General features: G+C 35.7%; 1 protein-coding gene across 52 annotated transcripts in view; it reads right to left on the reverse strand.

The window, feature by feature from the left end:
• Positions 1-25,504, reverse strand: part of DLG2 (discs large MAGUK scaffold protein 2) — a 2,173,362-nt gene that overhangs the window by 497,958 nt on the left and 1,649,900 nt on the right. For all 52 annotated transcript variants that reach the window (NR_165353.1, NM_001351274.2, XM_017017256.3 and 49 more), the window contains 2 exons: positions 12,355-12,499; positions 9,916-10,054 (listed from right to left, as the gene is read on the reverse strand). Coding sequence is in view for 51 of the 52 variants with exons in the window: in NM_001351274.2 (NP_001338203.1) it covers positions 9,916-10,054; positions 12,355-12,499 (284 nt within the window). In the remaining variant the exon portion in view is untranslated. The remainder of the gene's footprint in view (positions 1-9,915; positions 10,055-12,354; positions 12,500-25,504) is intronic.

Here is a 25,504-nt window from a genome sequence, read left to right on the forward strand (position 1 = left end):
AATGGATATAAAGATGGAAAAAATATCTGGAGACATATATAAAGCAGTATTTTCAAGATGTGTTTTTACACAGTTATAGTTTGCCCCATTATCTATATTAATACAATTACCTAGAAGTAAAAAATGAACGACATAACCCAAAACTTATGAAATTTATAAATTGATAGTGTCGTAAGAATGTCTTTGGAATGCAATGATTGTATCTCACAATTTTCCTATATTTTGTTCAGGTAATTACTAATATTAATATAGTAAACTCACCCACAGCAGCTAATGATATAGGACAGGAGTCCTCAACTGGTCAGGTCTATGGCCTGTTAGGAACTGGCCACACAGCAGGAGGTGAGCAGTGAGCTTTACTGCCTGAGCTTCCCTTCCTGTCAGATCAGCCCCTGGCATTAGATTCTCAAAGGAGCGAACCCTACTGTGAACTGCACATGCGAAGGATCTAGGTCGCATGCTCTTTATGAGAATTGAATGACTGATGATCTGAGGTGGAACCATGAAACAGTTTCGTCTGGAAACCCATCCTGCCCCTGCCACCTGTCCATGGAAAAATTATCTTCCATGAAAGTGGTCCCTGGTGCCAAAAAGGTTAGGGACCACTGATATATGAGATGGCAGGAAATCACCCAGGGATTGCAAAGTGTCATGGACAATTGCTAAAGTATACATCTGTGGGCAATTAGGAATCAGATATCTTCTTGTCCTATATTATCACCTTATGGATGTATGAACATGAAAATAAACTCCTAGAAGAACAGACCATGTCTATTTTCTTGAGTCACAGTATAAATCCTCTTTCAGTGTCATACAGATTATGGCCAGAAATAAGCTTCACATTGTGTTCATGATAGTGGTTAACTTGTAAGAGGATAGGGACCAACTGATGGTTGGCTTCTACAGCGGTCCCTCCAAAATTCTCCATTGCCTATCATCAATCCTTTTTTGCATCAATGAACTAAAGAATGAAAGCAAGGATGAACTTACTCCATTAAAAATGTAATGCAACATTGATTAAATTACTATTCAAATTTTACATGTATAGCAACAATAGCTATGTATATGCAATTACCATTTCCATAAAATTATAGAGCATAGTGTTGTGTGTTTATGTCTGGCTAACTCATGAGCACATAGGAAATGATAAATATCTATAGGAGCCGGTTTTAAATTTCTCATTAGTGTTGCATTTTTGCTAATATTTATTTCCTTGAAAGCAAACAGCAGCTTAACGTGTTTTCTAATATATATTTGGATGTTCCCCTTGAATTAAGATTTGTTAGATTCGCCATTAGCATACCCACTCTCTCTGCTTCCTACTTCTAGTAGGATAGTTCTATGAATGATTCTTCATGGTTTATATAAGTAAACCTATGTGGTTTAAAGTTTTGTGTGGTCAGTTTTCTCTTTATTGTTTATTTACATTAATAAAGAGAAAACTCTCCTTGAGGCTTCCACATAATGATCTATCTGTCTCACTAGTTTTGTCTCACTCCCCCCTTTCATTTCTACACTTTGCTTCAAAACATACATTATAGTACCAGTCTCTATGTTGGAGAAATCAGAAATGCAACACAGAGCAAAACAAAATCTCAGAGACATTTGTTCATGAACCTTTAATTTGGTTAAGTTTTATAATGAACTTTGTAAAGTCTGTAAGGAGTCTGATGTCATGTTTTGCAGAACTTTTTAAGGGAAAAGCTACCTAGAGTTAGCTATTGAGAGTCACTATGAATTTTTTAAAAGGGCAAAATCAACAAATTTTCCATCAAAAAATCATATTTTAGCCAGAGGGAAAACTGATAGACTAGTTTATACCATATTTGCTTCCACTGATTTCTGTATTAGATTTTCATTGCAGCTGGTATTAGATATTCATTGTAGTCATAAAAATTAAGATTCTCAATAAAGCAGTCAGACTATATGACTCTCTGTAATAAAATATTCTAATGTGTTCTACAAGATAAATAAGTTGAAAAATCCATATACGTAGATTACAACATGTTTGAGCAGCTGCGTAATATTGTTGGCTACAGTTCCATAAATAATTTGAGGATATTTGCCAAAAAGTGGTTTTATTTGTATCACGGTTCATCTTAAAATCCTTGTTTTTTCAATAGTATTAATAACAGCTAACAATTATCAGGTACTTATTTTTGCCAAGCACGTTACATGTACTAACTCAGTTTATTGTCACAACAAACCTATGATGTAGAAAGTATTATTTTGCCCCTTTTATAAACGGCAACACAGAGGCAAAGGGGAGTTACATAACTGATTCAAGGTCACACAGCTAGGAAATGGTGTGATTCAAACCTAAGCAGGGTAGCTCCAGGACCCACACACCTAATCACTCTGTTATTCTACTGTAATTCTAAAGCCGGGTCAGTTGCCTGCTTAGGGTACTCTAGCTGTTTTCCACCATACTTGACTAAAAGTGACAGTGACAGGAGGCAGCCAAACGCCTAGGCAGATAGGGGTGGGTAACCAGTGAAACCCCACCTTCAAGCAAAAATAACAGCCTGAAACCCATGGCCCAAAGTGATAACTTCTACTCCTGTTCACCCACTCTCCCCTGATTGGTTCTTTCTGGATAATGCCTTTTTACCAATCAAATGTTGCCTTTTCCAAAACTACCTATGGCCTGTCCTGCCCTCATCCTATGTATATAAAGACTCCAGGCTCAGTCAATAATTAGTGAACTGGGAGATGCAGACCCTCCCTCAATTGGAGTGGACACCATCTAATCAGCTGCCAGTGCAGCTAGGATAAAAGCAGGCAGAGGAACATGGAAAGACTAGACTGGCTTAGTCTTCCAGCCTACATCTTTCTCCTGTGCTGGGTGCTTTCTGCCCTCAAACAATAGACTCCAAGTTCTTCAGCTTTGGGACTCTTGGACCTTTGACCACAGACTGAAGGCTGCACTGCTGGCTTCCCTACTTTTGAGATTTTGGGACTTGGACTGGCTTCCTTGCCTCTCAGCTTGCAGATGGCCTATTGTGGGACCTCACCTTGTGATCATGTGAGTCAGTCCTCCTTAATAAACTCCCCTTATACATCCATCTCCTCTTATGCATCCATCCTATTATTTCTATTCCTCCAGCGAACCCTGACTACAGCCTGACTTCAGGGAAGAAGACCTGTTCTTCCTGTCCCCTCTCTAGCTCCCCTCCCTGCTGAGAGACGTTTTCATCGCTCAGTCAAATTATCCGCCTTCACTATCATTTAATCATCTGTGTGACCTCATTCTTCATGGATGCTGGACGAGAGCTTGGGACCACTGAGTGCAGGTACTCAGAAAGGCTGTCACACCAGACCTTGCCACCACCAGAGGAGGGCAGCCGCCCCACACCATGAGGCAAGGGGCCAACTGAGCTGCTAACATACTGCTGTCTACAAATGGCAGAACTAAAAGAGTACTGTGACACCCTCTCTGGGGCTATGGGATTATGGGCACCCTCACCTGGATGCCACCACGCTCCCCTCCAGGAGACATGCCTTGTCTGGCCATGGGCCCCACACGGAGCTTGCTCCTGTGCCAGTGCCTGAAGCAACCAGCTGGATCCCACACTCACTCACTCACATGCCCCCTCCCACAAGGGGTTGAGCACGGTGGGCCAAGTAGACAGGGTGCCCCTACCGCGAGTCCAGTGAAGGGGCCAAGAGAAATCCTGCATCAAAAGCATATAAGAAAAGATTTCTTTCCTGTATAAGAAGAAACTTCTAGTTCACTCAGAATGGTTTTAAGTCATTAAATGTAAACTAAAAAGAAGAGAGGCTAGAACATGCTTGTACTGTACTCTGATGAGGTGTTGTCTGATCCTTCGAGAGCTTGTTCCTAATGGGTACCATAAACCTTGAGCCATTATTAAGGGACAGTTTATATAAAACACAATTAATAATTGGCAAGTTTGTGTAACTTAGCTCAGTGTTTCTCAAACTTGGGTACTTAAGTGTACCTTGGGGTTTGTGGTATTTGCCAGGGATTACTAATATCTTCAGAAAACCTTTCTGGTGTGTCGACTTCATTTTAAGACTCGGAAGAAAAATAACGTAGTTTGTAATAAGAATATTTTTACTTTAAAGCAAACAATATTCTGCAAGCTTTTGTGATAAAATATACAAGATTTTATGTGTTTTTATGCTTGGGCAGAAATCTTCATGTTCTACCTCAGAGCCTGAGGAGAACAAGTTTATTTTCTAAGTTAAGGGCATGTGAGTAGAAACATTTGACAAACAGTGGGCTGGCTTCTAACCAGTTCTAATCCACAAAGTTAAACAATAAGAGATAAGAAAAACAGAACAAAAAGAAACAAATAACAGTGGCAAATACTTATGCTGTTCCTGAAAGACTACTCCATAGGTAATAAAAACTATAAAAATGGTCAGTAGTCAAAACAGTCTGACTAAGCCAGGTCTGCTCTTCACGTGGAACATGGGCTATTAAACCTTGCTCTGAGATATAGCTCGGATTTCTCTATTCCTCTTCTCTTCCATTGCTACCCTCACTTCAGTCCCAGGTGTCATAATCTTTTCCCTCTTTTTTTCCAGTGGTCTCTCTACTCCACACAGCAGCCAGAACTTTTTTTTTTTTTTTTTAAAAACATAAATCAGATCAGTTTTCCTGATTAGTACTCTTCAATGAATTCTCAATGAACTTAAAATTAGACCTACACTTTCTCATTACCTGTGAAGTCCTACTTCTGCTTCCTGCTTCCTTATCTAACCTAATTTTCTGCCTGCTCCCATTATCTCATCTCTTTCTGGCCAAACTGGACTTTATGTTGCAGGAACACAGTAAACTTATTCCTGCCTCAATGACTTTGGCTTTGCTATTCCCTCTTCTTGGAATGCTATTTCTCTGATCTTTAATCATCACCACTTTCTACTTTTTATTCAGGTCTCAGTCCATATGCTATCTCCTGAGAGAGGCACTGCCTGGTTATCCTACTTCATATTGTTCTCTTCCCCAATCACTGCTCATCACATTATCCTATTTTACTTCCTTTGTAGCACTTAGCACTAACTGAACTTAATGCATTTATTTATACATCTCTTATTCAATATACTAAAATGTAAATTCCATGAGGGCAAGCACCTTGACCAGTTTGTTCACCATTGTGACTATGTTGCTAATAACTATGCTTGACATGGGTAGAAGCTGAATATTCACTGAATGAGCAAATAACTGAACGAAGGAGAAAAGGCAACTTGAATATATATTAGATGACATGGCTAGTAAGCTAGTGTTCTATAATTCGGAGACAATAGAGTAGATGTGGACTCCAGACTGATGAGATTATGTCTGTTCAGTAAGTGACAGAGTCAAACTGGTGAATATTAGAGTTACAGTTTGGGGCAGTTCTTGTAAAGTGTCTGTGGACAAGAAATCTTTATTGAGGCTTTTTTTATATGATGCTTTTTAATGAACTAAATGATGTGAGGGACCAATAAGTAGAGGCAGCCAGAAAGACACACTAAATTCACAGCTAGGTAAACTTGGTTTCTAACACTGAGAAATATATCTTTTACAGTTATAATTTAGGTCCCTGGGTTTCATAATGCTATTTATCACATTCATAACTTGGGAAATTAGGTCCCTACATCTTGAAAGAGTAGTTTTACTTTGCATTACCAATTTTTTTGTTTCATTTTAGTACTGTTTGCATATCCTAAGTATTTTCAGCCAGATAGTGATGATGTGTGGTTTGCCTCTCTTCTGAGTAACTAGGGAAAACTTGGCCCAGTAAAGATAGAACTCATAGTTACCGGTAACATACAAAATAGACACTGTTACCAGGTAATCCTTGATTGAAGATAGTTTTTCATAATTGCTACTTTCTTACTCCAGCCAAAAAAATAGTGCACATATACATGGGCTCTAAATCTGATTATACTACTTACAAATACTGGACCAGGGAAAGCCAACAAATCACTCTGGGCCCTGTGTCTCTGGCCCAACCAGAAAGAGAGATTAGACTCTATATTTACTTATGGCCCTTTCTATTCTGACAGTCTATAATGCCTGAGACAAAAACAATCTCAGTATTGTTGTAATAGCTTTATTTTCCAAAAATTGAAAATCAGATATCTACATCACAATGAATGCCGATTTATAGGGACTCAGTGAGCATGCTACTAAGAGATTGTATCCAAAACTTTTTTTATTTGTGACTTTTCTTCTAAATTCATGGAAAAATAAAACTTCCCAGTTTATGCAGGTGTACATTTCTTTAATAGAAATAGATTAAAAAATCTACCTAGGTTATTGTAGAATTATTTGAATCAAAATTGCTTTAAAATTCTTACCGTACATCCATAACAAACGTGACTATAAATCAGGAAAGTAGAGAAACATTTATTACAATAGATTAAGATATGAATACATGGAACAAAAGTTTTCCAATTTGATGTGATTTTATAGGTTATGGGAAAGTTCCCATTTCACAGACATGTTTCCCTACTGGCCCAAGTTCCGTTATTAGAGATTTATTTTCTTGATTTACTATTTTAGGAAAATACAAAGTAGGTCTCAAACATAAGCACCTAAATGAACTTAGAATAATAATTTACAGAGCCTTCTAAAAATGACAACATTCGTGCATGTTAACATATTAAAACTTCACAATTCCATGAAGAAATTAGAAGATCCTTTATAGCGAATCTACGGATGAGAAAATCAAGACTCACAGAGATGAACTGACTTGTTCAGAGTTATCTAGGTAGTAAGTGGTAGGACGAGCACTACCAACCAGGGATGCAGGGATGGGGCCTTTGAAAACAGACAGACCTGAATTCAAATTTTGATTCTATTTGATTGCTGTATGCTATGAGGCAATTACTTAACCTCTCTGAGAATTTTTTAATCTGTAAAAATCAAGAATAAGAATATCATATAAATAATATAGGAGCAATAATATATATTACAGCACTTATTGTTAACGGTGAATAGTAATGATCCTTTTGTTTTTATTACTCTATGTATTGTTAATCTTACAGCTAGGGTGCATAGGAGAGAAGGAACAGGAATATAAAGATGATCCAAAGGTAGGTACCATTTTCCTTTGTGAGTCTTATATTTCAAGTTCTAATTCTTGCTTTCATTTTATTCTATTTCACATTCTTCTGTGAGTCTGCACAATCTATCCCACTACCACAAATGCCCTTCCTCATCTCTTGACTCTCTGACCAATGCCTACACAGTTTTCAAGTACTAATTAGAGTCATATCCTCTTTAAAACTTTCTTTGATGCCATAGGTTATTCCTATGGCATTCATGTAATACTCATACTCATTTAGCAGTATTTCCTAAGTGTCTCTTGTGGTGTTAGGGAACTCTGCTAGTGCTACATAAGGGCACTTTAGAGAACTGACCCTACTTTTGCTTGCTTGCTTCTGTTAGTAATTCTCAGACTTTTGAATTTTACAGATAGTTAACATTTAAAAAATGAAGACTAACAAAAAGTTGCCAATTTTTCTCTTCTAAGTAAAAACATAATAAATAATTGCCAAATTCTTTTACAAAAGAAAGGGCATTTTGATTACAAAATATATAATCTCAAGATTTTGAAAAAAATTAATAAATTAGGCTTTGTGGAAAACTTCATGGAGGGGGTTCTGCATAAATTAGGGAACAGGCATTGGGGAATCCATTGATTTACACATTTTTTTTTTTTGCCTCAATTGAATAGTTCTTAGATGCTATTTCTTATTCATTTGTGCATCTCTAGTGCAGCACCAGGTGTCTTATAGGAAGTATTCAATTAATATTTATGAATGAGAAAGTGAATCTGCCTCTGAGCAAATACCTCTGAGACCCATGGTAACGCCTACAGTGTGAAGCACCTATGAGAGAACACCAACAATGGTAAGAGAGTGGTGGAGGGGTGTGTATGTGTATGTTTATGTGTGTGAACTAACATAATTTACTTTAACAGTTTGCCAGGCACCAACCATTCTGATTTTGTAGGGAAATACTAGTGAGACTGTCCTCTAGGGGAACAGGAAAGGAGGCAGGGGCAGGATCTAAGATATTGAGGCATATCTCACGTGTACCGTAAAAATATTTCATGTGACATCTGAAGTGGATTAAGATTACAGTAAGTATAGTTACTGTAAATAGATAACATTCGTTGAGTACTTATAATGTGCCAGGCACCTTTCTAAGTTCTTTGCATTCATTAGCTCACTTAATCATCACAACAACCTATTGAGATAGACTCACTTTCTATTCCCTTGTACAGGTGAGAAAACTGAAGCTTGCAGAGGTTAAATGACTTGCCCAGGGTCACACAGTCAGTGGTAGAGGTAGGTTTCAACTATGGTCTAGTTGTTTTTAGAGCTCATCAAAACTCTGAGGTCCCTTTCTAGCCACATATTTCTATGATGAACATAGTTTTATATGACTTGGTTTTCATTTTTAATATTAGAAAATTAAAACGTTTTCTCTTAGCTAGGATTTTAAAGCTGTTAAGGCACTCAGTTTTTCTACTTATTAATAAAAGCTATGTGACCATAAGCAAGTTCCATAACCTCTTTGAACTTCAATGTCTACATCTCTAAAATGGAGATGAAAGCCTTTTTCTGTGTGTTTTTCGGAGGATTAAATGGATAGTGTATAAAAACAGCTAGCAGAGGGTCTGGATTATGAAGGGGCTTGAATAAATGTTAATTCGCTATGGGGCCTAGTAACATAAAGTGACATTTCTAAATTAAAATCATATCAAATATTAGTAATAGGATGAGAGCAAAGAGATCATCACTCTGGTGGATAAAGGTGCCTGTATTTACAGAATTCCTTAGAGAGCCGTGAGGATTATCTTTGCCGCAGCCCTCATTTTAATTAAGAGCATAGAGATCAGACATTTCAGCATAGGAAGAAGCTTGTATTTGATTTACATGGATGCACATTTTCAGCGTCTAAACATTCCATTCCTTGGCTAAAGATATAAAGAGCTACTTCAGCAAACCTGATATTGCAAAATAAATGGAAAATGCTTAATCATTTAAAAAGATACACCAAAGAACAGAAAGATCAAAGCATCCACATATACCAGTGAGGAAAGCTTTCCTCTCCGGCAGAAAGTCTCTACTTTTTGAAAGGCTGACAAATGACTTCAGTTAGACAGGCAGGGTATAAAACCAAAACAACCCATCTATCATTCTTTACACACAAACACATATCGAAATTAAGCACACATATGTATACATGTAATCTCATTTTTGATAAAAGTATTGTTCATGGAGAAAAATTGTGGAACAATGTGTAAAACATAAACTCATTTTGTAAAAATAATGTCAGGCCCCACGTATATCTGAAAATACATTTGTATATGTTTGTAAGAACATGGAGAAGGTATGAAAGGTTTATGCCAGGTCGTCACCTTGGGTACCCTGGGACAGGTCACTCTGGAGGGAGTTTGGGGGAAATTTTTGTTCCTTGATCTTCTTTGTATTCCTTTGCCAAATGTAATGACCAGTTAAAGACAAAAAGTTTTTACATTTACATTTCTTTATTATTCATTTACCCATTGAATTCCACTAACCAAATATATAATATTGGCATGCTACTTCCTTCCTTTTGAATCTCAGCACTATCTTCTCTTCTCAAGTATTAATACTTACCTTACACTATGGCTGTAAAGCTTAAATGTGATCAGATATAGAAAGTCTTAATAAATGGCAAAGTGATGTATAAGTGTATCTTACTATTTATTCACAAATATTTTGTGATTTTGCTGCCTATCAGAGGACAATGACACAGTTGCAATGCACCTGAGGCAAAACTACAATAAGGTTGAATGGGACCCAGAAGCTTTAGTTAGCATCCAAAACAACACCTGACATGTTAGGCAAATGTGATTTCTTTCTGGTAATAAGAGCAAATCCAATTAACTAACAGGCATATCTGACCTGGTGTAGTCGTCGTCAACAAGCATGTGCTTTGGAATTGGTGAGTACCTTCCTGGAGAGATGGGTGGCAGGGAGGTTTTATATTCTAAAGTGCCATTGTTGCCAGAGAGTAGATGGTTTTCCATTGGTGGAGAATAAGCTAAGAGGTGGGGGAAAAAGAGAAAAGAAACCTGTTATGTGGGTGATTCAATGTGTCATGCTATACTTCAGAAAAATGTATTAAAAACAGAAAGGCTTTGCTGCATGCCAAGGTTTTTCTTGTCCTCCCAGAGGGGGGAGTTGCAGCTTATTTGCATTTAATATATACAAGCACATGGTGACCTTTAGGATAGGAAAGACTTAATAATAGTTAAGTCTGTAATGCCAGTTAGTCTAATTTGGTGAAGAGAAGAACTGGAGAAGAGATCCAGCACACATATTTTCAGAACAATGATTAATTTTCTATTGAAATAAAATGTTAGCTTTCTAATTTCAGAGCTCACATTGTTTTCACATAATTAATATCCAATTACTGAGAGTAAAAGCCTCCTAAGGATCAGGTTCTCCTGTGAGACTTTCTCCCAAAATATACTCTATTCCCATCCCACAAAGGCCAAGAACTCTGGCCTTTCTTTTTCATTCCTCCTTCCTAATGTATCTCCCTTTTAGGTGACTAAAAACACCTCCTAACTGGGTCTCTTGCTCCTTTCTCTCTCCTCAAATCCATTTTATATGTTGAGATGAGGTAAAACCTCCTGAAATTCAGCTTGACCACACTATTCTCTTACTTAAATGTTCTCCATTGTTGTTATGTATTTAATATAGTATAAACTCTCCTCTTTGCCATTCTTGCAAGATCAATCAATTTTAATACCCCCCAACACATATCCTATCATCCGCAAACATAGGCTGTGCTTCCTGACATCTGTACCTTTGTTCCACTGTACCATCTACCTAGAATTTGCCTCTCCTACCTAACCCATCTCAGATGTTGAAATCTCATTCTGAAGATGCAACTGAAATGCCATCCTATGCATATTTTTCTGATGTTCCAAAGACAGATGATGTATCTCTTTTCTTTGAGTTCCCAAATAACATTTATATTCACCTCTCCCATGGCATATGCATACCTCTTATTCTGCCAAATATTGCTTTTATTTATATATCTGAGTTAGCCTTCCTCCCAACAAAGCTCTTTGAAGGCCATGATTCTATCTCCTCTGCATCCCACATATTACCTTACAATGTGCCTTGTACATACTGAAATTACTCAATACTTATTTGTTAGGTTTATTAGAGTCGTTTTCTCCCTTTTCTGTCTTTGACATTGACCTTATATGCCCTGCATGAAGTGGCTCACAGACTATCAGGGCTGATTTTGCTACATTCTTCCAGTTTGAAAAACTCTGAAAGTTAAAACTCTTTCATATTCTAAGGTAAGTCTGATCTCAATTTACTGCCAGCTTGAAAACATACATATTTTGGAGGTAAGTTGTTTCAGAATCATCATTAAGAAAAGCAATAGCTAATGCAATGGGCAGGAAATAAAATTGTTCAACACATTTCTCTCAAGAGAAACATGTAAGTCTGAGAGAACTTGAACAATTTGCTTGAGACCATAGTACTAATTAATGGCCAGTTCTGAAGACGTTCCAAGTTTCCAGTCTCACAAATGGACTCTCAACATTTCAGAATGAGCAAGCTTACTACTGTTGACACAACTATCCCTTACATTTACATAACAAAGTAAATTGCTTCTAAATCTAGTCTTCAAAGACAGAAACTTAGTTAAGATTCGTGTTGACCTATTAAGAAGAGGAGAACATATGAGGCTTATGCAACAGTGGAAATTTGAGGACCCCAGCATAGTCTCATTAGTTGTTAGTTGTTGCTGCAGAAGTCCCACTTCCAGCTCACCTCTATTGCCATAGTGACTGATAATTTTCTCCAGCTTACTTGCCAATATAACAAATTCAAGTAAAGTAAAAGCTATGTGATGGTGATTGAGGATCATAATTTCGCCATTCAATTGCAAGATCCCCTTTTTCAGGAAGAATCATAGAGCTACCTCTGGTCTATTTGCCAGTCTCTTTTCTAATCTACTACTACAGAGATCTGAAGTTGGAAGAAATAATATGATGGCATGAGAGTGATCATGCTTTAGGAGCTTGAGAAATAGCCTTTCAAAATGTATTGCCCATACACTACTTTAATCACACTGTCCTCAACATTAAGCCTTTCCATAATGGTGGGCATGCCAACTCATTAGGAGATCTCATCTTCAAACAGGAGGTAAGGGCCTGCAAGGCAACATAGGAGTGGAGTTTAGGATACTCCCTCTGAAGTATTTCCAGAAGTTAACCAAGAGGGAAGGTACAAGTAGAACACTTTGTCAACAGTTTTATAGAATTCCAGTTCTGCAAGTCTGGCATGCTATTTGAAGATGACAATGGTACTTACAGTGAGTAATATCAGGTGGACCATAAGGATCAGTCATATAAATGGTAGTGGGTTTGCCAACTTTTAAATAAACTACCTCTGATGTGTTCTTTAATATTGCTACTGCCTCTTCGTGTGTTACTTCTTCTAAACTGTAGTTGTTTACCTGAAAGGGTGAAAAAGATCAATATTAGAGTTAAATCTATGGAGCAGAAGAAAAATATTCAGGCAAGAAGATACCTGGAATTATAAATTGTGATAATTACTGTCCAGTATCCTTGACATAACAGATGAATTAAATGCATTAGTCAAAGCAGATAAGTACAATCAATGATTCTATAAAATAAGGTTGCTTCTGCCTTTTTTTAAATGAGGAAGTGATATACAGTAATGGAATTCAGAATAGTATTTGTGGGAAGGAAAATAAGGAGTCAAATGCCTTTTTTGTTATGCTATAGTTTCTATGATAGAAAAGTAACACATATTAGTGGAAGAAAACTTAAAAAAGAAGAAAATAAAAATCATTCATCATCTCCCTACTTAGATATATTGCCTTAAACAATTTTGACTTTATTATACACATTGTTTTGGAACCTGCTTTTTAAACCTAGAGTGACTAGTTGTTTGTAGCAGCAATGTAGTTTAACAAGATGACTTTTGTTTTCTGCAGAGCATTATGTTGCATGACTACAGTATAATGATCTAACCAGTTTCTTACTAGCGCATGTTTAGTTTGCTTCTAATTTTTTAAAACTATAAATAATGTTGCACTAATCCTTTTTCTATATTTGTGCACAACTCTGATAATATTTCTTTGATACACATTTACCCATACAAGTGAAACTGCTGGACCAAACTATATGAACATTATCAGGGCTTTTGATACCTAGTGTGAAAATGCCTGTTTCCCTCTGGAAAGATGAACCGGTTTACTCTCATACCAGCATTATATGAGAGCCCTCATTTCCTTATAGCTTCGCCAAACCTTGATTTTTTCACTTTAAAATGGTTCTCATCAAAATGTCATTTAATATGAGTCTATTCAGAACACGTCTTTTCAGGTGAGCAAGTTCAAGGGTACCCTATTGTCATTGTGTTAACAGAAATGCCTCTTTCTTTATTGCATGGAAAAGCCTGTGATACAAATGATACACTGACTTCATGGCAGTGGCATTACAGTGGGTCTCTGCACCACTTCTCTGAAATGATTTTAAGATAATCTCTCTAAAAAGACTTAAACTTTGAGGAAATTAGAATAAACGTTAATTCAGGAAGTATTTCAAATACCTAGGTTATCCGTATCTGGCTACTATATAAAAAAATAAATTTTGTTGTGTATATTTCAGGTTCACAGCATGATGTTATATCACACATATAGATAATAAAGTGGTCACTATAGTGAAGTAAATTAACATATCCATCATCATAGTTATAATTTTTTGTGACAAGAGCAGCTAAAATCTACTTATTTCGCAAAATTCCTAATATAATACAATTTTATTAACTATAGTCTTTATGTTACACATTAGACCTCTAGACTTGTTCATCCTACATATCTGCTACTTTTTATCCTTTCATCTGTATCTCCCCATTTTCCACCTCCCCCTGTAACCACTGTTTTATCCTCTATCTCTGTATATTTGACTTTTATTTTTTAAGATTCCACATATAAGTGAGATCATGCAATATTGTTCCTTCTGTTCTGGCTTACTTCATTTAGCATAATGCCCTCCAAGTCTACCCATGTTGTGGTAAATGGCAGGATCTCCCATTTTTTAAGGCTGAATATTTCATTGTGCATATATACCACATTTTCTTTATCCTTTTATCCACTGACAGGCATGAAGGTCGTTGCCATATCTTGGCTATTGTAAATAATGCTGCATTGAACATGGGAGTGCAGATATCTTTACAAGGTGGTGATTTCATCTTCTCTGGGTATATAACAAGACCAGAGATTGCTGGGTAACATGGTAAATCTATTTTTAATTTATTTAGGAGCCTGCATACTGTTTTCCATAATGGCTACACCAGTCTGCATCCCAATCAATAGTGTACAAGTGCTCCCTTTTCTCCACATCCTCACTGACATTTGTTATTCTCATCTTTTTGATAATAGCCATCCTAACAGTTGTGAAGTGATATCTCATGGCAGTTTAGATTTCCATTTCCTTGATGATTAGTGATATTAAGCACCTTTTTGCATACCTGTTGGACATTTTTGCATCTTCTTTGGAGAAATATTTATTCATGTCCTCTGTGCATTTTTAAAATCCTGTTAATGTTTTTCTACTCTTGAGTTGTATCAGTTCTTTATAAATTTTGGTTATTAACCTATCATCAGATATATGGTTTGCAATTTTTTCCCAATTTGTTTCATTTTGTTGATTGTTTCCTTTGCTTTGCAGAAGATTTTGAATTTAATGTAGTCCTATTTATTTTTCCTTTTGTAGCCTGAGCTTTTAACGTGATATCCAAAACAACATTGTCAATGACAAGGTCAAGGAAGCTTTTCCCCTATGTTCTTTTCTAGAAATTTTATGGTTTTAGGTTTTACGTTTAGGTCTTTTAGCCAAATTGAGCTGATTTTTGCATATGGCATTAGAGTCCAATTTCATTCTTTTGCATGTGGAGATTCCATTTTCCCAGTATCATTCATTGAAAAGACTAGCCTTTCTTCATCATGTTCTCTTATTTTCTTTGTCAAAACTTAGTTGACCATATATGTTTGAATTTATTTGGCTACTATTTCTTTAATGACATAATTGTTTAATTACTTTCCACTGGTATAATGTAAAATTAAAATAAATGTCCCAAAAGCATTGGACTGAATTCCTATAGTACACATTATCTATACTATCTAATTAGCACTTCAGCTATACCATACTTTGCAGCACTACTATTCGTAATCTTTATTATTTTGCTCCATGTTGCTATGTAAGTTCCATGTGCTAGTTAATCCTTGGTGATGTAGCCCAGGTTAGGGACTGTGGAACTGGAGAGAATTGAACCTGACTGATGTGTTTGAATGCTGGCTGTGAGTTCTCCATTAAGCCGTAAGCTTCTCTAGCACCTCTCACATTTCTCTTCTAGATAAGACATGTTCCCTTAAATCTTTTTTCATTTCAGTGTCTGGCATTTGTTTATTCACTGATCAAATGTTTACTGCATACCTGTTATGTGTCAGACTCTGGGCCAGATATTAGAGATATGATAAATAATAAAAATGATAATCAATAATCATAGTAAACACATATAGCCCATATTACATGCCAGGCACTATTTTAAAGTATTTTACATATATTAACACAATCAAACTTTCACGATAACTTATGAGGTAGCTATTATAATTACCTTATTTTACAGATGAGAAAAGTGTGTCTCCAAGAGGTTAAGAAACTTGCCCCAAGTCATTGATCTGGTAAGTGTCAGAGGCAGAATTCAAAGCTAGACAGTTTGGCTCCAGAAACCATGCTGTTAACCACTCAGCTATACTACTTCTTCCAGATAGACAAGGTCCTTGCTTTCATGAAACCCACATTAATAATACACAATTGTTTGTGGAATGAATGGATAGAAGAATAGACTCATGCAGAGAGGGAGAATGTAGAGGAACTTCAGGTATGGAGAACATAGTTGATAATGGCAGCCCTTAATAATACAGAAATAACACGATAATAATAATAACTAACATTTATTTAATACTTGCATGCCATATATTTTAGGAGTCCTATGTCACATATTTTGACATGAATCATATAACTTATCATGAGAAGAGCTCCAGGAAGTAGATACTATTAATCAGGCAAATTTTACAGATGAGAAAAACTGTTTTTTAAAGAGATTAACTTGCAACAAAGAGGTCACACTGCCTCCAATTGTCAAAGCCATCAATTGGATCACAAGCCTCCTTACGAGATGAAAATGAGATTATATTTGTATGTTGATTCATTAAAAGCTAGGGCTCATATCACCTGTTCTTTCTCCCTTTAGGAGAACAGGGTTTCTTTCCGAGTTTACATATAAAAGTAGAATAAATTCCAAAGTATTATAAAAGCTTGAGGAATCATTATATTTCCTGCTTAATCCAGTGGTAATAGTATACTGCATCATCCTAATACACTGACCAGTCAAAAAATAAATAAGTAAAATGGAAAGCAGCTTAACATATCTCACTGATCTCACTGTCTCTTCAAAACCTTCTTATACATTTGATTAATCATTTATTTTAGGGCCATTACCACTTGTGCTTAGATAATGATTTATTTTTTATTCTTTTTATTTTTTTGAGATGGAGTTTTGCTCTTGTTGCCCAGGCTGGAGTGCCATGGCGTGATCTTGGCTCACTGCAACCTCTGCCTCCCGGGTTCAAGCAATTCTCCTGCCTCAGCCTCCCGAGTAGCTGGGATTACAGGCATATGCCACCACTGCCAGCTAATTTTGTATTTTTAGCAGACACAGGGTTTCACCATGTTGGCCAGGCTGGTCTCAAACTCCTGACCTCAGGTGATTCACCCACCTCAGCCTCTCAAAGTGCTGGGATTACAGGCGTGAGCCACCACACCTGGCCGATAATGAATATTTACATGTGATGTTCTATGGTTTAAAATGTATATGAAAGTGGGTGTTTCCTCTAAAAAAAAAAAAGATTGCCTAAGGCAGCTTTTAATACTGTGACTATGGCCCACAAAAACATCTATACTGAGAGAACAGAAGAGAAACAGTATCTGGTGGCATAACACAGGGGGAATGAGAAGTCAATAATAATTAAAAATAAAAACCAAAGGCTAGAAACTAACTGGATTAGATTATAAGTGACAGCAAAGCTCTGTTTCTGACAAGGGCTCATTGTCTCTCTCCTCAGAGTATGGAAACTACACAGCTCATTAGATTATCAGTGAAAGAGAAATGTGGTCAGTGCTTATTAAATTGCACCTTTTGCCATTTTTAAGGTGGGCAGTGAAATGATCCAGAAAATATTACCTTCAACAACATTTTCATAGAGTGACTTTGCTAACAGAGTCTTCAGACCACGAGGAAAATTTTTAGACCATAAAGCAGAAGTTGAGGGAAAGGTAGTGGTGAGAAATGGGGAAAGAGGATACTGGGGAGAATAATAATAGTGGTTTAAAATAGTGGTAGTTCACTCAGTTTCTATTTGGTGACTGAAATATTGAAAAATTTACTTAGATTTCAGTCACAGAACAGGTGGTATTATGATACTGGCAACAGAATGTAGTGATTAAAAGCACATGCTTTTGAGTCACGCATACTGAAGCTTAGACCCTGGTGCTTCCTAGCTGTGTGATTTGGGGAGACTTGTTTAACCTTGTAAGCTTTAGTTTTGACATCTGCAAAACAGGAATGATAGCAGTTACTGCTTCAAAAGGCTATTGATTAAAATGTGTTGGCCTATATAAAGTGACAGGCACAATACAGTTCTTAATGTTAGCTCTTATCACTAATACTATTGTCATCATCTGTAAGCAGGATTTCTTGGTGAAAATTTTCGCTGATCATTTTCTTATAAACATCTGTGAACTGATGAGTTTAATTAGGGTGCTGCTGATGAAGCTTCTGTGTGGTCTTTTTAAAAATTCAGAATAGTACCGGATTTGGACCAAAAAGTGCTCTTTTGTGCTGAAGTCTTCAAAATGTTTTCCACAAAAGTGAGTTTGTTTGGGTTAATTATGTGTGTGCATTATCCTATGAACTCTCAAGATAAAGGGCCTACAGCTGGAGCTGATTGTATGCAATGAGAAGGGACATTACACTGATTGGCTAGTTGCTCTTGTCATTGTTTGTCATTGTCTTTTTTATTCTTTTTTTTCTCATTTGCATCAAATATCTGCCTATAATGGTGAACACTGAGCAACTGGCCTGGTTTCAAGGAAAAAAATCATGTGAATTTGATTGAAGTGCTCTCTGTGGGGTGCACCACACAGACGGGGACATATGTGCAGCCTGGCTGTGTGTTTGCTAATAGGAAAGAGGACTGAGGCCAAGAAAGAGAGGCTGGAGGTGAGATGACTCATTCTCTCAAACAGAAGAGGGAGCACTGAATTTGAACATGATGCAGACAAAGGAAGGCAAACCAGCTGAAGAAAGAGGTGCCAGGAGACTTGCAAGGAGACATGGCAAGTTTTGTGGGAATTCAAATGTGTGTAAGCAAACATAAATGTAATAATACAAAGGTGGGAGGTGTGGGGGCATGAGAATATAATAAAGAGGAATGAGCAATATAGAGATGGCAAGATACTGACCTTTCCATGTTCTTGCAGGAATATCAGTATGGTGGGATGAACTGGGAGGTGATTACAGACATTAAGGTTACCTAAGGCATAGTACAAGGAAATGTGGAACTCTAGAATCATTGGTAAGAAAACTCTAAAGTTAACTTTTAAACAGGAAACAAAGTGGCTGATCATTAGGTTGTAAGATAAATTAAAAAGCAGACCAATCCAATGTAGTAATGCCAATGCTATGAAAATAAATATGCATAAACCAAGGATTAAAATCTCCATAGTACTCTGAAATTAACTATTATAATAAAATGTATTCAAAATAATAACTATTAATAAATAAAAGGCATGTTAGTAATGGTTATCTTTGGATAATAAATATTTTCTTGTTTTTCATCTTTTCAGAAATGAATATGTATGTCATAGAGCAAAATTAACTCTAAATGAGCAAGAACAAAAACTTTAAGAAAGAACAGAAGCTAAGTACAGTGGTGTCATTATGAGACACACACAGCAGCATCTCATGAGTAATGAAAATCGGAATGGGAAAAAAGAAAGTTAATTTCTCAAGGCCAATGAATAGACTTAAATTTACTAGAAATAATATTCATATGTTAAACCTTGCTGTTTCTAGAAACGAAGGCAACTTGATACAGGGAGAATAATTTTGAACATAGAATCAGATCAGATCTGGTTTTAATTCCTAGTTTCACGAATTTAAGTCAGTTAACATATTTACTAAGAATTCATTTTCTTACATGTAAAATGGGAATTATACTTATTTGTAGATTTGTGTTTATGAGAAAAGAATAATACCATGAAGTTGAAAAGACTCTGTATGATATAAAGTAGCATACGAATAGAAATCAAACAGCCATAATCAGACATCATGCTTTGTTGATCCTGCTGCTGTTCAGGGCTCTTTATGTAGAAATTATCAATCCCTATATTGTGAAACACTTATTCCTACAGTGCCTCTTCCCACCTCCAAGAATGATCTTCTCAAGGGCAACTGATTAGATCATATTCATCTCTATTCCCCTAGCTGATGCAATATAAATAGTTGGCACTTAATAAGTGTTGAGGTATTAAGCTAAGTTTTAAAAAAATGATCGCAGAACACCAAAGGAAAAGCAATCAAAATTCCCTATTTTATAGAAAGAATGAAGCATTTGTGTTGCATTCTATTTTACATTTGTGTTGAGTCAGAGAGTAAAGCAATAAGAATGAAGGTCATTCAAGCAACAATACACATTTATTGGATACCCACTCTGTGCCAGGCACAGGATATAAGGATGAAAAGCTGGTACAGAATCTTAGCACCAGATCATATTAGTTTATAAGGTACACAGTCAAAGCTCCATCATTGTGATTCTATTCTTCCTTCATTAATCATTAATTCATTTCTTAACCTTTTACTCCATATAAAGAAAGAGAGCAAGCAAGAGTGATTGTTTTGATTTACTCAAATTTCTTCTCTAGCAGAGGTCACCAAAATGGACAGTATGATATGAACCCTAGGGCAATCCACTGGGTACAAGAGAAAAACATTTGCATTTCTATTAATATTAATCACATGGATATTTATATTTCTATTTCCATTTTCATATGTTTTAAAATGTAAACAATATATTAGCATAGTAATATATATGTAATTTAGAGTAGAGAAATATATTAGTGGCAACCTTTGGAGTGTGCTATTAAGATAATTTTAAAATGACAGCAACATGATACTTACAGAGCAGATTCTATAAAGAGGGCTATTACACTGAGTATAAGCAAAATAAAAAAGAGTGCAATAGGAGGTTCTAACCCTTAAATAAAATATGTCATAGCAATTACATTGTATTATAACTTATTACATTTGAGATAAATTAGAAGAGAGTTCAAGAAACAGTTGTCCAGGTTTTATCCTGTTGTTTCAGAAGTGACTTTAAACTCAGGGGACAGAATTTTGAGAGTGAACTGTTCTAAATTTTTTTTAGCCAATTGCAGGTAATTGCTAAATTATACTCTACTGGCTTGATAGAATGAGCACTACCACCAAAGTTGTCCTTAGGAGATGCAGTGGTAGCAGCAGAATGGGCTAGGATGTGGTTAGATCAAGGTAGGATGGTGGTTCTTAACCCGGCTGCACATTAAAATCATTTGGAAAACCTAAAAAAATAAAATAAAATGAAGCATGATCCCTACCCCAGAAATCCAGATTTGATTATTCAGGGTTGACTGAGGACTGGGTATTCATAGTGTTCAAGAGCTTATCTTGAGATTCAAATGTGTAACCAAAATCAAGAATCAGAGATGTTGACAAAACCAGTGAAAGGAATTTAACTTCAGGACATCAAAATCTATGTCTGAATCCAATTTCACAATTTACTAGTTATGTAATATTGGAAATCCCTTTGTCTAAGTTCTAACTGAGTTCTAACTTTCCTTCTGAAAAATAAGAATAACAGTAATGACTGTCCTAACTACCTCTCAAAGATGGGGGTTAAGAATAAATGAGGTGTTGTAGGCAAAAGATCTTTTCAAGATGAAAGCAATGTGTTGTTGGTAGGAAAGAGACATGCTCAGAGAGTTACAGGTCTTGATTCTAAGATATCTAAGGTTGGTATAACCAATGAATATGCTTTAACATCCCATTCATTATTCAGATAATTTCTACATATTCGCAATGTCTTCAATTTGATTTTCTTATTGATACTTGGATGAAATCAGGCAATTTTGTAGATTTACCAAAAATAATAACAATTTCAGTCATCACAACTAATACTCATTCAGAAACTTGCATTGTTTCTACTCACATTTCCTAAAGTATTTCATGGCTTTACTCTAGGATATTTATTTTCAAATAAAAATAAGATATGCTCACACATAGCACATCCTGAGTATATTCCACTAAACACTAGTTTTAGGTGTTTTGTTAAGTATTACTCTAAGAAGAAGGCTCCATGATAAAACAGATTTGTTAATCAAAATCAAATCACTTACTTGATGGCAGGACTTCACAGAATTTTTAATATGCTAAAATTCATTGAGAATCTTCAAGAGAATTGGGATACAAGTTGCAGAATTTAGCAAACGTATTTGGTCACAGAGTCTATTCACGTGACACAGAAAAGAGAACAATATTTTAAAGCATACTTTTGGAAATACCAATCTAATATAATGCTACTATGGTACAGAGGCCAAAATAGAAGACCAAAGATGGATGTGACTTGCCCAAGACAGATTAGGTAGAATCAGTGCTAGGTGCCTGTGACTGAAATCCAGCTTTCTCATCTGAGTCCAGTGTCTTTCCGCTCGACTTCAATGTCTCTGTTACTTTTCCTGTCACTTACTACTTCCCTTTAAGGAAAGAAAACACAAGAACTAATTCTCTGTAAAAGGTATAAAAGTTCTCTCACTGACAATTTTTTCTTCAAATGTCGAGCAGGGGTTATGGAAAGAAGAGGCTAAGATTTTAAACCTTAAATTACAATGTGCCAAGGGGCTTTGTCAACTAATAACTAATGCTGTCCCTGCAGAGAAGACAATCAAATTATCCTGGATTCAACATTTCTGGTTTATATAGAAAAAGGGGAAGAAGTTAACACTTTTCTAATATATTGGGCTATATGTATCACCTTGGAAGTGCTTAATAAAGCCAATATGTGAAAATATATGAAAGAATTTAAAAATCTGTTATGCTGTTAAACTCTGACTACCACTGAAATTCAAGGCCAAGAGAATCTATTTCATCTGAGACTACAACACTAAACCACTGGTACAATCCACAAAATCCAATGTCACTGTCACTTTACCATTTAAAAAACAAAACAAAATTCTAGTGAACAATAAATTCTAAGTGACAAAGGAAATTTTTAAAAATATTATTTTGCTAAAAAGAACATATACCATGTATTTGGGTGACCCATTAAACATCAGAGTGGTCTGATATTATGGTCATCTTATTTAAAATACCAAGAGGTTTATTGCAAAGGTAACAGACAGAGTAATTGTTTCTTTAAGTAGAATATTTACAAAGGTCACATACTATACTATTACATGGAATTTTTAAAGTAGGAAATAAAACTGTAAGGAATATAAAGAAGTTTTGTAATAAGTATAATCTATTTACAGAAGATAAATGAATATGTGATAAAATTTACTGGAAGAGAGAGAAAAGGTCTAAAACATCCTAAAAAACTGAGAAGTGGAGAAGTGGAAAGACATAGCTCTTTCAAACATATGTGGAAGAGGAATTAGTCTTCACCTTTTTGTTTTCAAGTGACAGAGCTATGAATAAAGGGGGACATTTACAGGAAAATATATTTTAACAGAATTTTAAGGAAAACATTTTAATGATACTTATTACCTAATAAATAGTTTTCGGGAGGTATTATCCATCCTTAAAGGAGGTTCTATGAGAGGTCAGAGACTGCTTCACATGCTTGCTTTTCTGATGCACCAAGCAAGAGTTGATAAAAGATGACCTTTAAGATACATACGTTAAATTCTGAGATATAAGAAGAATTTCAGGGAGAAAAAGTACCCAATATGGATGGTATGATTCAGGTGGTGCCCAACATTATAGCTATTTTACTTGAGAAACTAAAAGAGTTATTGTTATTACTAACTCTTTAAAAAATGACTGTGCTCTCAGTAGAGGGCAGTTGCTAGGAGACTTCCTGAATTGTGAGTATTCAGCCATGAAAGCCTAAAGAAATTAATGGAGTTTTATTTTAGACCAGTTTACTTACAGAACTCTGAGTGAATAATATATGGTGGAATTTTTCCTAAGAAGTGTCAGAAGGAAGTGGTGCAAATTGCTTTAGAAAGAATAGCATATTTAGAGAAAAATATGCAGAGTGTGGTACAGCTGGTACATCATAGAATCTAAATCATTTGTCCTTCCTTTGTGGGAGGAGAGTAGAAGAGGGGGAAGATACAAAGAATATGAATGTAGGGTAGTAAAGAGAAGAGGAGGTAGAAAGGAATGACAGAAGGAGAGCATTAATAAATATTTTTGGGTTGAAGCAAGATAATTGGTCTTTTAGGGTGGCTTCAGTGATTTTGTCTTTATTCTCCTTTTCAGGGTTATTTTGCTTGCAAAGTATAAAATGAATCATTTTCTTTCATTTCCAGTTTCAACTTGGAAGTACTAATTCTGTCTTCCTTACATAAGAGAGGAGAGACCTATTACTGTTGAAGTTTCTTTAAAAAAAACTATGCTTTAAAACTCAAAACAATTAAGGATTATGTCACAGCTATTTTCGAAATCATTTTTTTTTGAGAGTTCATCTTGACTTCTATTACACACTAGACATATATGAACTAACCAGAGATGTGAATGATTCTCTGTACTCTTAAAATCACAGGAAATATATTTCCACCTCCCCCTTTTTTTCTGATATTGGAGTAGCATTTCAGATTTTGGAGATTAGCTTAAGGCAAAGTAAAAGTCATGGAAGGCAGTGTATAAATAACATTAATTATGAAGCTACTTTTCAGAAGCTAGTAGTAACTTGCTTAGTAATAACCAAAAGGTTGTGCAGCGTTCACAATGCTAGTATTAATTAGCTACATATTTTGAACATCTACTGTTACTGGATACCAAAGAAAGTGGGTTATTTAAGAATCTTCCATTCTTGTTATAAGCTTCCTATGATCCAGTAACTTCTCAAAGGCTTTGCAAAAAGCATAAGTCCTTGCTTTTTGAGAATTTTTTTTGTGCACCCAAGAAATGTAAACGCAACCATCACTGCTTCTTGTGCAGGTGTGTGCTTTAACAATCAGGGCTGCTTTTGGCATCAAGAGTATGAGCTATTAAGAGTTTCTAAAAAATACTGACCTAACTAGTCAGTTGCCTCCACCTTATATACTATTCAGGCAAGCCTTCGGAAAGTACACTACTGTATTCCTAGTCCAAAATAAGGTAGGCATGAATATATTCAACCTTGTTTGCACATACACCAAGGAAGAATTTAAATTTTTGCCCTTAAGTAGTTTTGTTTTAGGCAGGAGGAAAAACATATTCAATTTTGAGGTAGGTAATCAACAGGAATGAGAAAAATACAAGACAGTCTAAGATCTAACCTTTGTCCGCCTTTCTAGGCTTATGTCTTAATACTCCCGAAGTGGCACAAGCTAGGTTATTTCTAGTTCTTAACAGACTACTGTGCTTTTGCACAATGCTCTCAAGTTCAGCTTAAGCAATGCTCCTCTGGAAGTTCACACCCTAACTCGACTGTCACTCTTCTTTGTTTTCTTCTAGAATCCTGGGATTATCTGAATAATAAATGCCATCACATTCTACTTTTAATACATACTTCATCTCTTTCACCTAGTGCACTATGAGTTACTACGGGGAAGAATCTGTGTGCCTATCTTTCTGTTTTCAGTGATGATATACTGAAAGAATGGTGTAGGAATAGAAATATTCTATTTACCAGTGCTAAGGCTTTTTCACAAAACCAGGCAGAGATCTGCTCATTTTTACTCTGTAAACTTGGAAAAGTTAATTTATTCAATCTCTATTTTGTCCTAACTAGACTGATCATTATATCTACGATGAATATCAACAAAATGGTAATAAAAAATAGTGTAGTGCCTGGAAAATCCTTTGACAGAATTATTTGGAGCAAGTTTTTTTTTTTTTTAAATTTGGAAACAAAACAAAAAATTTAAACAAAACTTCAAGAAATAAGCACATAGCATTTACCATGATGGTACAATAGCAGTGGATGAAGAAATACCAGAAGAGCTGCCTGCAACCAAACTCATATGGAACCGTGAGTCAAAGGTCAAACCAGTAACTATCTAAGACAGTCATTACTTGAGAACGAAACGGTCTTCATTTTTCAACTTAGCACTATGTAGAATATGGTTATCACAATTTATTCTATTCCCAAGACAACATTTCAAGCAATAAAGTTTATATTCCAGAA

Source organism: Homo sapiens, chromosome 11 (genome assembly GCF_000001405.40).
Source record: "Homo sapiens chromosome 11, GRCh38.p14 Primary Assembly".
NCBI classification, from domain to species: Eukaryota; Metazoa; Chordata; class Mammalia; order Primates; family Hominidae; genus Homo; species Homo sapiens.